We start from the raw sequence: 16,402 nt of genomic DNA, 5'->3' as shown, positions 1-16,402 counted from the left end.
TGGTTAGAATACTTAGAAAGGTATTGCTTGAGTAATGTGTTAAGTTTACCTATAAATGAATGAATTTTCTGTTCTGCATTTCCTAGTAAAGCTTTAAAGCAAGTCTAAAGTGAAAATTGTTTAAAAGCAACTTTACTATGACCTAGAACATAGCTCAATGATATTTAAATGAATAAAAAAATTCAGGGCTCAAACAAGCTAATCACAAGGTCTGTCAGCCAATAAAGAATTACCAGGCGTGTAACAAAGAAAGAAAACATGACTTGCAGTGAAGAAAAATAATCAATCAATACAAATAGTCCTAGAAGTGATACAAATGATAGAATTAGTAAACAATAATACAAATATGTGTTGTAACTATATTGTCTATGTTAAACTAGAGGGAGCATGAGTATATTTAAAAATACAATATCTGACATAAAAAGTACATAATTAACAGCATGCCAGATAATAAAGAAAAAAGTTAAGAAAATTGAAAATATAAGACTAAAACTATCAAAAATAATAGAGAAAAACTAAAAACACAGCACAGGATTTCAATGAACTGTAAAACAACCTTGAGTGTGTTAATACCTACAGATATAAACCAAAACTAAAATTGTAAGGAAGAAAATTGAAAATATAGGAATAAAAATGTCAAAAATAATAGAGAAAAACTAAGAAAACAACACAGGACTTAAATGAACTGTAAAACAACCTTGAGTGTGTTAATACCTACAGGTGCAAACCAAAACTAAAATTGTAAGGCCCCTGACCATCTGAACGGACTCCTCTCAGCAAGAACATTCCACAGCTAACCTGAAAAACTAGTTCAGGCCATGATGGGAAGCAGAGGGTTAAACATGCCTCTTTATACTCTCGTCCCTGTTGGAATTACTGATAGAACAGACTCTTTAAGTCTGATAAGAAACATTTACAGTCTATTTTCTCCAAAGCCTGCTACATGGAAGCTTCACCTGCATGATAGAACCTTGGTGTCCACATCCCCTTATCTTAACCCAGTCTTTCCTAAGTCTTTAGACAATAACCTAACTTTTTGACTCAATTGGCAATCAGACAATTGTTGAATCTATCTATGACTTGGAAGCCCCTGTTTCCAGTTGTCCCACCTTTCTGGACAAAACCAATGTATAACATAGCTTACATGTAGTGATCAATGTCTCATGTCTCCCTAAAATGTATAAAACTAAGCTGTACCCTGACTGCCTTGGGGACGTGTTCTCAGGATCTCCTATGGTCTGTGTCAAAGGCCATTGGTCACTCATTTTTGACTCAGAATAAACCTCTTCAAATATTTTACAGTTTGATTATTTTTGTGAACAATAATTTGTTGCCTGAGCATGTGGGGCCTCAGAGAAGACTCAGGACCCTGAAGGAGTTGCCCAAACTTGGAGCTAGGGTACAAGCAGGGGCCCATTGAAAGCCTCCCTGACTTTGAGCTTCTCCTCTAGTGAAACTGGCAAGTCCTCCTGAGCCCTGAACGTCCCTTTGGTTGAGGGTCCTTGATTTATTCTGAGCTGCATTTTTTTTTCGTGCTAGGAAGTTGTTTAGGATCCTAATTCTATTTGAGAGGTGCATTTTTTTTTTTTTTTTTAGACGGAGTGTCGCTCTTTTTGCCCAGGCTGGAGTGCAATGGCGCGATCTCGGCTCACCGCAACCTCCGCCTCCCGGGTTCAAGAGATTCTCCTACAGAGGTGCATTCTACAGGATCTTTTCCATTGCCTTTTTTTAAAGACAAGGAGAATAACCTCCTTTTGGGCAACCTGTTTGGTTTCCAGTTCAGAGAGGTGCATTCTAAAGGGTCTTCTCTATTGCTTTTTCTCCCAAATTAGCACAATTGTCTTGTCTGCATATTCATGTGAGGAACTGAACTGTTGTTTTCCTAGATAAATGAGAGGCTGAGTTTTCTCAGTTCCGAAGAGAAAGGGCATTTTGCTCCTCCCAGCCGAAAGGTGCCCCTGGGTGACCAGAAGCCAAGTGAGAGTATCTGGAGGGTTGACCTCCTGTGATGTGCAGCAGCCCTGCGGGGAACCCCCAACAACTTTAGTTTAAAAAGACTCATTAAGGAAATGTATATGGGAGCTGGTCACTCCATGTTTTGAACCTTCTTGGTGGTAGGAGACCTCTGAAGAGAGAAACCAAGGCATGTAAGAGGGCGGAAATGACTCAGTGGTGAAACACTGTGGAGTCCCACCCACTATCAAGACAGGTCAATCCACTATGCTAAACTTGTCATACAATTTAGAATCTAAGATTATATTAAAAAATAGACATTAATTAAATGTCTGGGTAATTTCCAATTTTAAAAATACAGAAAAATATTTTAAACAGTGTTTTTTTATTAAGAGGTAAATATTTTTTGTCTAATTCAAAGGTTATTTAGAGGTATATAAAATGAAGTAAAAGGAACCAGAAAATAAGAGAAATATAAGGAAAGTTATAGATATAAAAAGATACTTTTGGTAAGAAGAAAAATGTTAGTAGAAATTCAACTTTATATTAGTAATAATCTTATATTTTGAATTTTTTCTTCTAAAATAATAAGGCTGGTTGTTCAAGAAGCATTTCTTTTTGCAATTCTTCAGATTGATATCCCAGAAGTTTGATGCTTTCTCTGTTTTGAAAAGGCCTGAGATGGTAGATAACTCTCCTTCACCTTTTGTTGGCTCCTATAACATCTCTTTATTAATAATCTAAAGTAAGTGAGAGAATTTTTTCAAAACAGCCAAATGAAAAATCTTTTGGACTGGCCTTTGTATGTCTATTACATTTATATATTTGTATGTGTCACGTGGAAGTGATGTTTCACTACCAAATTATTTGAAAAAGCTCTAATCTATTGGCTTAAAGAAAAGTCAGTGCTTAGCAGGCTAATAGAGGCTAACTCAGATACCTTTTATTTCACATGACTTGGGTAATCTTTGGTAAGATTACTTTGGTAAATTTAATCTCAAAATTCTCTCCAGTAATTTAAAATCTTAAAGTCATGGTTTGTTAAACCATGTTTTTTCACTGGGAATGGGGTTACTAAGAGTTAAAATAGTAGGAGAGTGAAAGGTGTTTCTGATGAAGTTTATAAAACACAAAGATGTATTTTTTTTGCTAAAGAAAAGTGTATTTTTTTCTTGTTTAAAGACTATTTAAGAGTCATTTTTAAATGAAGGAAAAATTATACAGAAAAAACTAAATGGATTAAGAGAAAATGAAAAGATGTGGAATGAGAAACCTTGACTCTTGGGTGGCCGTGTGGTTGCCCATCTTCAGGAGCTTTAGCTGGGCTGCATTCAGTTACTAAAGATAAAAGTTACCAGTGGAATTTAGAGCTGTATCATACCCATACTCTCAGGGAATTAGTTCACCCAATGCATGAGGAAATGCAAACTAATAAGAAAAACGCAAAATATTCAATCACTTGCTTATTGTTATCTATAAATAGCTAAAATGAAAGTAAAAGCATGCTGGGTTGGGTCTTCAGGCTAGACCAAGCTCAGATATGGGAATGTCTCAGCTCAGGCCACTAACCTCAAAGCTACCCAAAAGAAAACTATTAACCCAGAGCAACAAAAAGTTACCTCTGAGACCTGTGGTTACTAAAAGGATAGTCAATGTGGGGGAAAGGCAAAATCAAGTAAGTACAAAATCCAGAGGGTATAATTGCATTTTGTAAATTGGTATCATCTCCTTCATGAGAAATCTTTCTGATAATGGATTGTAAAAATAACTACTTTAAGGACAGTATCCTTAATTTTAAATGCTATGGAATGAAAAAGTATGTTTGGGTTAATTCAGGCTCCACAGCTCACTATTAAAGAATTGTTGATGCGTATATGTGATCCATATGCACAGGAGGTCATTCCAGAAAGAATGACCAGCCTAGTGGACTGGATAAACACCACTGTAAGGTCTGTTTTTCCTAAGAAGGGGACTGCCCAACTCTCCCTATAAAATGCCAAGTGCAGCACCAAGATGAAGCAGCTGATATGCTTCATATGCAAGCCATGTGGGACTGGCTTTATGATAGCTGGCATATTCACCCACTGAATATCCCTATTATCCAGTCATGGTAAATGCTGGGGTTAAGAGGGTTTGTTTTATGTGGGCACTCAAGGTGACATTACTCCTGCAGAATCATACAACTGTTTGAGAAGACTCATCATGAAGGACTTTGCTGACCCTCATGAAACTTACAGATTCTTAATAAAACATCAGGATATGGCTGGGCACAGTGGCTAATGCCTGTAATCCCAGCACTTTGGAAGGCCGAGGTGGGCAGATCACCTGAGGTCAGGAGTTCGAGACAAGCCCGGCCAACACGGTGAAACCCTGTCTCCACCAACAAAACAAAACAAAACAAAACAAAAAACAAAAATTAGCCAGGTGTGGTGGTGGGCACCTGTAATCCCAGCCACACAGGAGGCTGAGGCAGGAGAATCGCCTGAACCTGGGAGGTGGAGGTTGCAGTGAGCCAAGATCATGCCATTGCACTCCAGCCTGTGTGACAAGAGTGAAACTCTGTCTCAAACAACAACAACAACAAGCAAGCAAATAAAAAGCATTAGGATAAGAAGTAAATGCAGTAAATGGAACTCGGAACCAGAAGCCATACAAGAAATCAATGAAACCAAAAGTTAGTTTTTTCAAAAGATAAATGAGATCAATAGACTGCCAGCTAGATTAATAAGAAAAAATAAAAGACAAGGTTCAAATAAGAACCAACAGAAATGACAAAGGTGACTTTACAACTGAGTCCACAGAATTGCAAAGATCCTTAGAGACAATTATGAACACCTCTATGCACACAACTAGTAAACCAAGCAGAAATGAATAAGTTCCTAGAAACAGACAATCTCTCAAGATTGAACCAGGAAGAAATGGATACCTGGAACAGACAAATATTGAGTTTAATTATTGAGTCAGTAATTCAAAACCTACCAATCAAAAAAAAAAAAAAAGCCCCAGACCACATGGATTCACAGCTTAATTCTACCAGACATACTGAGAGCTGGTATCAATTATACTAAAGCTTTTCCAAAAAACTGAGGAGGAGAGATTCCTCCCTAACTCATCTGTTAAGCCAGAATCACTGCAATAGCAAAACCTAGCAAAGACACACACAGACACACACACAAACACACCCACACACACACACACAAGAAAACTATAGGCCAATATACTCGATGCATATAGATGCAAAATCCTCACCAAAATACTAGCAAACCGATACCAACAGCACATCGAAAAGTTAATTCACCATTATCAAGCAGGCTTCATTCCAGAGATGCAAGATTGGTTCACCATACATAAATCAATAAATGTGATTTGCCACATAAACAGAAGTAAAAGCAAAAACCATATAATCTTAACAGATGCAGAAAGAGCTTTTGATAAAACTCAACGTTCCTTCATGATAAAAACCCTTAACGATCTAGACATCGAAGGAACATATCTTGAAATAAAAAGAACTAGCTGTGACAAACCCACAGCCATCATCATGCTGAATGGGCAAAAACTAGAAGCATTCACCTTGAGAACTGGAGCAAGACAAGGATGTCCAATCACACCACTCCTATTCAACATAATATTGAAAGAAATAGAAAGAGCTATCAACAAGATATAGTAATAAAAAACTAGGAAAAGTGGAAGTCAAATTCTCTCTCTTCATGGAAATTTGATTCAATACCTACAAAACCCTAAAGGCTCCACCAAAAGACTCCTGGAACTGATAAACCACTTCAGTACAGTTTCAGGAAACAAAATTAATGGACACAGATCAGTAGCATTTCTATTCATGAATCATATGCAAGGTGTCAAATCAAGAACACAATCTCATTTACAATAGCCACACACACACAAAATAAAAACCTATAAATACATCTAACCAAGGAGATGAAAGATTTCTACAGGGAGAACTACAAAACATTGTTGAAAGAAATCACAAAAGACACAAACAAATGGAAAACATTCCATGCTCATGGATTAGAAGAATCAATATTATTAAAATGGCTACATTGTCCAAAACAATATACAGATTCAATGCCATTCCTATGAAATTGCCATCATTTTACACAAGAGTGGAGAAACTATTCTACAACTCATATGTAACCAAAAATTCACAATGGATTTGTACTTGTTATTTCTTCTGCTTGAAAATGTCTTTCTTCATGCTTACTCCCATATTTAAATTATATCTTTTCTAAAAGGTCACCTATACCAGAGAGGTTATCCTTGACTATCCTATTTGAGGCTGCTTCTATATCCTAGTCCTGCTTTACACTTCTTTAGCACACTTATTATTGCCTAAGTCATGTGTTCTTTGTTTACTTTTTGTCTGCATCTCCCAATTGCAATGTAAAAGCTCTGACAACAGGGCTCTGACTCTTTTTCTGTGACTGCAGCCTCTAGAACAGTATCTGACAGCTGGTATCACTCAATAAATTTTTGTTCAATGGCTATATTGACAAACTGATAGAGAGCATTAGATGGTTTGTGTTCTGAGTGCCTGCCTACTGCTGTGGAGTGACATGGGGGTCATCTTCTGGACTGTAGGGCCTGAGATAAGAAATGTGGGAATGTACAAGGCTAAGAAATGTGCTGTGGCAAAGGACACCAGAAACAAATCAAATGTTCGTATCAGTAGGTCTAGTAATCTAGATGTGATTGAGGACCATATGTTTGTAACACAAAATGAATATAACATGCTAAATTAAAAATAATCATTTCAAAAGAGCTATGGTATAAAGTACTATAGTCAGTGCTACTCAAACTGGGAAAACGAAGTGAAGAAAGAAATCTTTATATATGTAAATATAAAAAAGAGAAATAAAGAGCATACACATAATAATGTGCTAGAAATTTATTGCTTTTGGAGAGGAATGAATTTCTATTACTCAGAAACAGCAGTGAAAACAGCTTAACAGTTTAAATTGCAAGTATCTAATCAAATGATAATTAGGAAGGGAAGTATCATGAAACACAGAATTCACTAAATCATGGTCTTTCTTTTATTCTCCATTGCCTTATGATAATTCTTCAAAAAGCAGTGGTAGTGTGATGCGGTATGATGAATGAGAATAAATGAGTAAAAAGTGAATTTGCCAGTCAAACCTGTGAAGAAAAAGAAAATAACACTTTATCTTCAAAATGGATACTCCTATAAATAAATTTATACTCTTGCTGGCAGAAAGTATGTATTTATAGATAGTTTTATTTATTATAATGCAGGGACCAAAATACTATTTGATATAGAGTAGACAATTAAATACTCATTAAGTGGGTATCAGAATAAATAAAAATTATCATTCAGCATTTGCAATTAAATTTAAATTTTTCTTGAGGTTTTCCATCATCATCTTACTTTATTCTTCCACTTAAATATAGCCTACACATTTCATCTATCTCCCCCAAATAATATTTTAAATATATCCTCCCCTGATTAAATGTCATCAGCAATTATCTAACACCTGGAGGATAAAGATCAGGCTTTTTCTGATATCACAAAGAGCAGGAATTCAATATGAATAAAATGTCCCAATACATTAAAAAATATTTGACACCTTTTGAACTATTTCAGCTTTGAATTGTAGAACAGTACTCTGTTATCTCCAAAATATTGCTTTATTTTGAAATGTAATCTTTAGTATCTCATAGATTTTGGAACATTTTATGCTGTGAATATAGATAAATAAAACTGACTTTATGAAAAGGAAATTGTTACCATTTTCTATTTCCTTGAAAATTCCCATCTCCTTGTTGATGTTATATTAGTCATTCCTATAGCAATTGCTCATTAGAGTTGCTTAGGCATAAAATGTAAATTTTTTATGAGTTCCCAGATGGTGGTTGTGCAACTTCTTCAAAGATTTCATTTTAGGACAGAAAACTTCAAATAACATCCATGTACAGTGTTAGTGGCAGAGAAGCCTATGGCCACAACCATACACCTTCCAGAACAAGGGCTTCTATATAATGTCTCTCAATAGTCTTTCCAACTCTATAAAAAGCTTAAGTAGTATTATAATATGTATTTGTCGATTAGAAAACTGAGGTATGGAGAAGATTAGGAATAGTTCCAGGTCAGAACTGGAACTATAGTTCCTACCCAGAACTCAGCATCTTAACACTGGTGAACAGAAGCTTTCCCTCGGAGGCATTTTTATTTTATTTCATTTTATTTTTTAATTTTACTTTAAGTTCTAGAATACATATGCAGAACATGCAGTTCTGTTACATAGGTATATGTGTGCCATGGTGGTTTGCTGCACCTATTGATCAGTCCTCTGTTACCTTCCCTTACTCCCTCCCCTCCATCCCTGGTTTGTGTTGTCCCCTCCCTGTCTTCACGTGTTCTCACTGTTCAGCTCCCACTTATGAGTGAGACCTTGTGCTGTTTCCTTTCTGTTCCTGTGTTAGTTTGCTGAGGATGATGGCTTCCAGCTTCATCCATGTCCCTGCAAAGGACAGGATCTCATTCCTTTGTATGGCTGCATAGTACTCCATGGTGTATATGTACCACATTTTCTTTATCCAGTCTATCATTAATGGTCATTTGGGTTGGTTCCATGTCTTTGCTATTGTAAATAGTGCTGCAATAAACATATGTAGGCATATGTCTTTATAGTAGAATGATTTACGTTCCTTTGGGTATATACCCAGTCATGGGATTGCTGCATCAAATGGTATTTCCGGTTCTAGATCCTTGAGGAATCACCATACTGTCTTCCACAATGGTTGAACTAATTTACATTCTCACACACAGTGTAAAAGTGTTCTTGTCTCTCCACAGCATCACCTGCATCTATTGTTTCTTGACTTTTTAATAATCAGCATTCTGACTGGTAGTGAGATGGTATCTCATTGTGATTTTTATTTGCATTTCTCTAATGATCAGTGATGATAAGCTTTTTTTCTTGTTTGTTGGCTGCATGAATGTCTTCTTCTGAGAACTATCTGTTCATGTCCTTTGCCCACTTTTAGATGGGGTTGTTTGTTTTTGTCTTGTAAATTTGTTTAAGTTCCTTGTAGATTCTGGATATTAGAGCTCGACAGATGAGTAGATTGCAAACATTTTCTCCCATTCTCTAGGTTGCCTGTTCACTCTGATGATAGTTTCTTTTGTTGTGCAGAAGCTCTTTAGTTTAATTAGATCCCATTTGTCAATTTTGGCTTTTGTTGCAATTGCTTTTGGCATTTTTTTACATGAAGTCTTTGCCAACGGCTGTCCTGAATGGTATCACCTAAGTTTTCTTCTCAGGTTTTCATGGTTTGGGGTATTACATTTAAGTTTTTAATCTGTCTTGAGTTAATTTTTGTATAAGGTGTAAGGAAGGGGTCCAGTTTCGGTTTTCTGCATATGGCTACCCAGTTTTCTCAGCATCATTTATTCAATAGGAGATCCTTTCTTGATTACTTGTTTTGTCAGGTTTGTTGAATATCAGATGGCAAGCAGAGACCCAAATCATGAATGAACTCCCATTCACAATTGCTACAAAGAGAATAAAATACCTAGAAATACAGCTAACAAAGGATGTGAAGGACCTCTTCAAGGAGAACTACAAACCACTGCTCAAGGAAATAAGAAAGGACACAAACAAATGGAAAAACATTCCATTCTCATGGATAAGAAAAATCATTATCATGAAAATGGCCATACTGATCAAAGTAATTTATAGATTCAATGCTATTCCCATCAAATGACCATTGACATTCTTCACAGAATTAGAAATAACTACTTTAAATTTCATATGGATCCAAAGAAAAGCTCATATACCCAAGACAATTGTAAGCAAAAGAACAAAGCTGAAGGCATCACACTACCTGACTTCAAACTATACTACAAAGCTACAGTTACCAAAACAGCATGGTACCAGTACCAAAACAACATACAGACCAATGGCACAGAACAGAGACCTCAGAAATAACACCACATATCTACAGCTTCAGAAGCATTTATACAAATGAATACACTTCAAGGAGCTAACCCATGCTACATTTCTTAAACTGGAATGGTTGTTAGCTTATGGCTTTTTTTTTAAACTGTCAGTGTTGACACTTCTAGAAAGACAAGCAACTAGAGTCAGCTTACCTCTATAATCATGCCCCATGATTACTAAGGATATCAATTGTCATATAGATAATTTGATCCATAGTCCCCATAAAATGGAAATTCTCGATGTGAATGATGCTTTTCCTGCATACACACAAAAGGAGAGAGCAAATTGCAGAGAATAGAGAATGACAATACAAGTGTTTCTCAAAAACTGTCATTAAAAGCTTAGATTGCTAAAGTTGTTAAGACCTTGTATTTTATCTACATAAATGTTTTCAAACTTTTACATTTTTCTTTTTTATCAGAAAAATGTCTAAAAGTAGGTAAAAATGATAAAGTATTTACTGTTTGCTGATATTTTTGTGACAATAGCACAGGTGGAAACACTGATTATAGGTAACCTCTCTAACCAGGGTTCAAATCTTCTTTAAAATATTACCTCCAAGCTACTATTTTGCTCACTATTGAGTATTATGGAAAGGATTAAGTTACTGTTTCCAACTTAGGTGGTGCTTCTTAATGTCATTCCTTTAGTGATCTTACTTTCCTTTACAACTCCTACATTCTTTCATACCCACTGCTGTTAACACAAACAGTCTTCATCCATTTTTATGCATCTTTTTACTTGGTGCTTTTTTAACATGTATACTTGCTATGTTAGTAAGGAGAACTTTAGAACCCAGATTCATATTGATATTACAGGTCAAAATAACATGAGACTTTATATACATACAGTGAGAAAAATGTTAGAGAAATACAATTTTCTGTCTAATTTAGCACAGTCAGTTTAATTTAAAGACTGTATCATCCTCAAAAATTCAGAAGGTAGAAACTTACCACATTACATGAGTAGCCTCTATGCTTTATTAAGCATATGTTATACTTAATAGAATTAGGATTTCAACTATTCTTTAGGTCAATGAAATTATTTACAGGACAAAGATAAGTTCTCAGAGAATAATTGACAATTGACTTATTTCAGGTGGAATTGAGTTTCTGTTGAAATGCTTTTAGGACACAAGATATTTGTGACTTTTTGCCTTTGCATCATAAATAAATGAAATCAATGTGCACTTTAGCAATTAATGATATAGATATATTTGAGAGACAACTATTGATTCTTCTAGGAGAATAAATAGTCAGAGAGGAAAATTTATTTAGAGTGCACATTATCAGAAGAACACTTACATGGAATTTTCTTCTATACCCATGATGTCTCTATGAAATAAAAAGAAAAGATTAAAAATTCAATATATGTTTATTTATCAAGTTTTCCCGTAAATGAAAATGTCTTACCTTTTCATGTGAATCAGCGCTCTTGGAAAAAAAGAAAATGAGAAAATAATTAATATTTTAATTTTATAATTCAAGAGTAAGTATAAATATTGACTTAGCCACATATATGATTAAACAGAATGGAGGCATTCTTTGGTTGATGACAGACTAAATTAGTTATTTTAGCTTTATGACATCTTCAAAATGAGTGAGGGGTAAATGCTATAATTAATGTGCTATATTCAAATATCAACTCATTTTGGTTTATATATCTTTTTTATGTAAGGCAGGAAAAGTCTGTCACTGGTGAATAAGAGAGTGGAAACTGAAAAATGAAACTCTGGATTGTTTTTTATATGAATATGTTCCATGTAGCTCAAAAGCTACCAACATACAAATATTTTATTTGCTGATAGAGACAGGCATTATGCTTTACTCTGTTCTTATTTGTTTATTTTTCTACTTCTATCCTTTTATAATAAAATCACGTGATAAACTGTGATATCATAACCAATTCAGTTTCGAAACATTCATTAGAATTTAGTGGATAGTTTGGAGTATTATTATTCTTTTGTGACCAATTTTCTATTAAGTTCATAGAAAGAGGAGGAGGAGGAGGAGGAGGAAGAGGCGGTGGAAGTAGAGAAGGAGAAAGAGCTCCAAAGAGGTCAAGTGCTTTTCCTACTAATACACAGTAGTAAATGACAATAGAGCTGGGAACTCATGACACTTAATAAATATGGAGATTTGTTTTATGGTTTAAAATAAGCAGCTTTATTTTAGGAAGAATTAAATAATTGTATGCTGACTTTAAGAGTAGGTTGTGCAAGAAATGACTTGAAAATTCCTATTTTGACACCCTCTAATACTTGGGTTCCATTGAAGTGCACCTTTTTCTTTCCTCAGATTTCTAACTTCAGATGGTCTAGAGCTTTTCACATTTAAAGATACTTTCACAGATCTTAGTCCCACATATTTAAAAAGCTCGCTAAATTTTCTTTTACTTTTACATTCAAGTAATTGTACTTGAGTGTTTGTAGGTATGTGATGAATATCTATTCCAAGTCCTTAAAGAACTTACATAAGTTAATTCAAAGAAACTCCTTGTAGGGAAATATTAAAGCTTATAAAGCTGTATTGAGGTCAACATGAGTATATACCAGAACACAAGGAATAAGAGAGACACTTGGGATAAGTACTGAGAATGTAGTATTTAAAATTTCCAGATATACTTACAATCATGGAAATCATGAGAGCCAAGACTAAAGCAAAGACAAAAAACTTCATAGTTGGCTGAGTCCTATAAAATCAAACATGAAAAATCAGTAATCACATTCTTTCATGCATTCATTCATCAAACTTCTATTGATGACACTATGCTTCAAAGCATTGGGAGACATGCTCTGTTTTCCAGGCTGGAGTGCAGGGGCATGAGCACAGATCACTGCAGCCTGGACCATCTGGTCTCAAGCCATCCTCCCACCTTAGCCTCCCTAGTCCCACTTGTAGCTGGAACTACAAGTGTGTGCCACCATGCCCAGCGAATTTTTTCTTTCTTTTTTTTTTTTTTAGTAGAGAATGTTTTTAGTCTCACTATATTTCCCAGGCAGTTCTGAAACTCCTGGGCTCTAGGAATCTTCCTGCCTTGTCTTCTCAAAATGCTTGGATTACAGGTGTGAGCCCCAGGCATGGCCTCATGAATTGATAAGTAAAGGTGAGTGCTCTGATTTGGAAATATTAATATGCTAATGAAACACACAAATGGACATCTTAAACAGACCAAGAGGATGGGAGTAAGAAGGTAATGAAGAAAGGCAAGCTTGAGTTGGATTATATGGAATGAGTAAAGGGTGGTGTTGGGAGCCTATAAAGAAATAAAACAGAGAGGAAAGCATGTTAAAAATGCAAACAGTTCAACACATAGGGAGGACAAAACTGGAGAAAAGATGACCACTTAGGTTGTTGTGACACTACAGGGGACTTATATAATGACATTAAGAATGCTAATTAAGGTACAGTGTAAAGAGATATTAGGAAAGTAGAATGAAAAGCAATGGAGACTGGCTTTATAATAAAGTCAGTGACTATGAGCCAGAGTTCTATTACAGAATCCACAGATGGTGTAACCCTGAGATTAGAACATTAGTGATATTGGGTAGCGAAAAATAAAATGAAGAGAATTCACAGGGAAAATGATTGTATCTACTTTGAGAAGTTGAACTGGTGAAGATTATTCAATATTTCAAATAATATTATTCAACAAAGTTAGCCTCATCTGGGACTCTGATATGCTTTTATAATTATGTATATGCAAGTGTATCCAGTTCCTTTGCAGATATAAAAAAGTATAGCAGGTTACTTATTTCTAAATTACAAACGTAAATAAAAGCATTTCCATTGGAAAATACAATTACCACAAGACTTACAGTTACATGGCATTTTTGGCTGTTAATTGCAGTTATAAAGTAATTCATTAATAGGTAATTTAAAAATTTTTTTCTAATCTCTCTTTCCTGTCATTTGTGATATAACATTACAGTAACATTTTTCATCTAATTATAATAAAATGTCCTGCTCTTAAACAGCCCTACATCTCTATCATGAAAAGCAGAACCCAAGATTTATGGCATTTACCATATTATTTATTCGTTTATTTTGCTTCACTCAATTAAATGGAAACTTCTACTATAGGACTAACTATAAAAATTATGTATTTTGAAGTTTTTCTATTACCTAATATATAAATCCTACTACAACTCTTTTTATGATACAAAAGGCATGAGAATTTTACTGTTGTTAATGATTGTCAATTCTGTTGCAAGTACAAAATAAAAAAGGGTTCTAAGAAATTGGTCTTCTTTTACTAACACATAAACTGATAGATAAACGAACATAGATAATCAATATACAATTAATGGTTATGAAAAACATATTTCCCAAGTAACACATCAATAAAAATTTGGAACAGTAAACTCTTTCTTTTCTGCCATAACACAAATGAATGAAAATGAGTTAAACAAATTAGTAAGATTGAGATGACTAACTCTTATACAGTATATGCTTTGCATTATAACAGCACTGTTTTAAATGATGGAAAGGTCAATAAAAAAGTAATAAAATAGTTTCCTATTAAGAAGAAAGTAAATTTTTAAAAATAAACCTTTATAATAATATATTTACCAAGAGAGAATTTATCAGTATCTTCTTGTAAAATTTGAACTCCTGGTTTAAGTTAAATGTAGAATTAATAATTAAGAAAGTAGATATTAGGTATCTAGACAAGGAAATAAAAAGAGTTAATTGAGGTCCCACCATCAGAGAGGATGTAATACATTGCCATATTCCACATAATTTACTTTGCGTGATGATTGCTGGTGTTAATTCATAGGAATTGAGATCTGGAAGTCATCTTCAGATCCCGAGTACAAAATTGTACACATTACAGCATCAGGGCAAATAACTAATGCATGCGGGGCTTAAAACCTAGATGATGGGTTGATAGGTGCAGCAAACCACCATGGCACACGTTTACCAATGCAACAAATCTGCATGTCCTGCACACGTATCCCAGAACTTAAAGTAAAATAAGAAAGTAAAATAAAATAAAATAAAATGAATTTGTGTGTGAGTTTTTAAAGGAAATATTTATTAGATAAATCATCTATGCTAATTTGAACAGTCCTATTAGAAATTATGGTATTCTATAGGTAATATACAAAAATGTAAATTATTTATTTAGGCAAATACGCAATTCAAGTAAACTAGATTTAAATAGATAATATACATTTTCATAAGTGGGTTACTATTGATTTTAGCAAACAAAAGCTTATGCTAATATATAATATTAGATTGTACTTGAACATATTACCTTTTACTCAAGAGGAGAGTCAAGAAGTCAGTGAAGCTGAAGTGAAGTCTCAAGAGATGTCCTTTTCTATATGGCTGATGTATTTAAACACGTTGAAATCTCCCTTTTGTTTTTCTAAATAGCATCAATTAGGAGATCATATGATTGAGACGGAAAGTAATGCCCAAAATCTGTCTCTACAAATTCTAAAAATAAACTTAACCAGGTGATTTTACAATAGATCATTGTGAAGACAAAGCAACCGGAAAGCGAATGGACCCATCACATGCTAATCCCAGTGTTAGTCTAGCCCTGAGTGAGTCAGACAACGGAAAAGCACGCTGGAGGAAACCAGGCATAGAAATGATTGCAGTGATAAAGATGTTTCTGTAGAATACCATCTACTACTTTTCAACAAATATATGTCCAAGATGGAACAACGCTATGTCAAAAATAATACTTACCATGTTATCAAAATTTTACACATTCTCTAGTAAATAGTGATAATTGGCATAATAAAATTGGAGTCATTCTATACTTCAAAAGTTTTCCTACAAATCATTATTTATCTTGTATTTTTACCTTTACATTGACTTTGAGTGTTTTAAGTAATAAAGTGAATGTAAACATTTGCCAAAATTCAATCATCTTTTGGATATCATATGATAAAAACATTCTCATATTTAATGTCAAAAGATTCTAGGTGCTTGGTCACATATCTCTCACATAAAACTGATTTCTTATGTTTAGAAATTTGAATTTACTTCCCTGGAGTTTTCTGAGGTTCATATATATTTATAGAGGCCATTTGTTGAAATAACTATATTAGACAGAAAGAGAAAAACAGAATTTTAATTTAATTCATAGGCAAACATGTATAAGCATTCACCTACTCTCTACCGGTTGGAGAATTTGATGTGCTAAGAACTGAGTATTAAAAACTCTTTTCTAAAGTTCAGATAAGTTATACAGCCCAGTCCATTGTTCCTCAGAGGGTGCCACATGCGACCATCATGATCAGCATCAGCTAGTAGCTGTTGAAATGCAGATTCTTATTCTACTTTTCCAAACTTACTGAGTCAGAATCTTGTGGTGTACACCTGGAACCGGAATTTTAAGAACATGTCCAGGAAACTCTTTGTGTACTTTAAAGATAGAAAAACTACTTAAGAGATTTATAAACGCATGGTCTTTAGCTTGATCCCACTAATTAGAAATTGTGTTTTAAATTTGTG

The 16,402-nt window shown here is 34.4% G+C and overlaps 1 protein-coding gene across 3 annotated transcripts, besides 1 other annotated feature; it reads right to left on the bottom strand.

Annotated features, from left to right (window-relative positions):
- Nucleotides 1,667-2,866: an enhancer, noted in NCBI's record as "MED14-independent group 3 enhancer chr4:70928535-70929734 (GRCh37/hg19 assembly coordinates)". NCBI's record gives its function as "activates an origin of replication core promoter dependent on BRD2, BRD4, P300/CBP and CDK7 cofactors, and independent of MED14, by STARR-seq in HCT116 cells {active_cell/tissue: HCT116}" and the evidence as "EXISTENCE:reporter gene assay evidence [ECO:0000049][PMID:35650434]".
- On the bottom strand, nt 6,836-15,246 carry HTN1 (histatin 1). 3 transcript variants are annotated; one of them, NM_002159.4, is made up of 6 exons: nt 15,189-15,246; nt 12,557-12,620; nt 11,342-11,362; nt 11,234-11,263; nt 10,082-10,186; nt 6,836-7,104 (listed from the first exon to the last, which is right to left on the bottom strand). In NM_002159.4, exons 2-5 carry the CDS (start codon nt 12,605-12,607, stop codon nt 10,115-10,117), a joined length of 174 nt encoding a protein of 57 aa, NP_002150.1. In that variant the 5' UTR covers nt 12,608-12,620; nt 15,189-15,246; the 3' UTR covers nt 6,836-7,104; nt 10,082-10,114. The 3 variants fall into 3 exon arrangements, with proteins under 3 accessions (NP_002150.1, NP_001355919.1, XP_047306148.1); NM_001368990.1 differs by lacking the exon at nt 11,342-11,362; XM_047450192.1 differs by lacking the exon at nt 6,836-7,104 and having other exon boundaries at nt 9,992-10,186.
- Nucleotides 15,247-16,402: the final 1,156 nt, after the last annotated feature.

The sequence above is a fragment of the Homo sapiens genome, chromosome 4 (genome assembly GCF_000001405.40).
Source record: "Homo sapiens chromosome 4, GRCh38.p14 Primary Assembly".
In the NCBI taxonomy this organism is placed as follows: Eukaryota; Metazoa; Chordata; class Mammalia; order Primates; family Hominidae; genus Homo; species Homo sapiens.
The sequence above is the reverse complement of the archived record's forward strand: the minus strand, read 5'-3'. Positions and strand labels throughout refer to the sequence as shown.

Bases quoted from the DNA above. Each gene is read 5' to 3' on its own strand.
- HTN1 (NM_002159.4), bottom strand. From the start codon at position 12,607: ATGAAGTTTTTTGTCTTTGCTTTAGTCTTGGCTCTCATGATTTCCATG. The intron at 11,363-12,556 runs GTAAGTATATCT...TTTTTTTCCAAG, and splicing joins CTCTCATGATTTCCATGATT to AGCGCTGATTCACATGAAAA. The intron at 11,264-11,341 runs GTAAGACATTTT...TTTATTTCATAG, and splicing joins GCGCTGATTCACATGAAAAG to AGACATCATGGGTATAGAAG.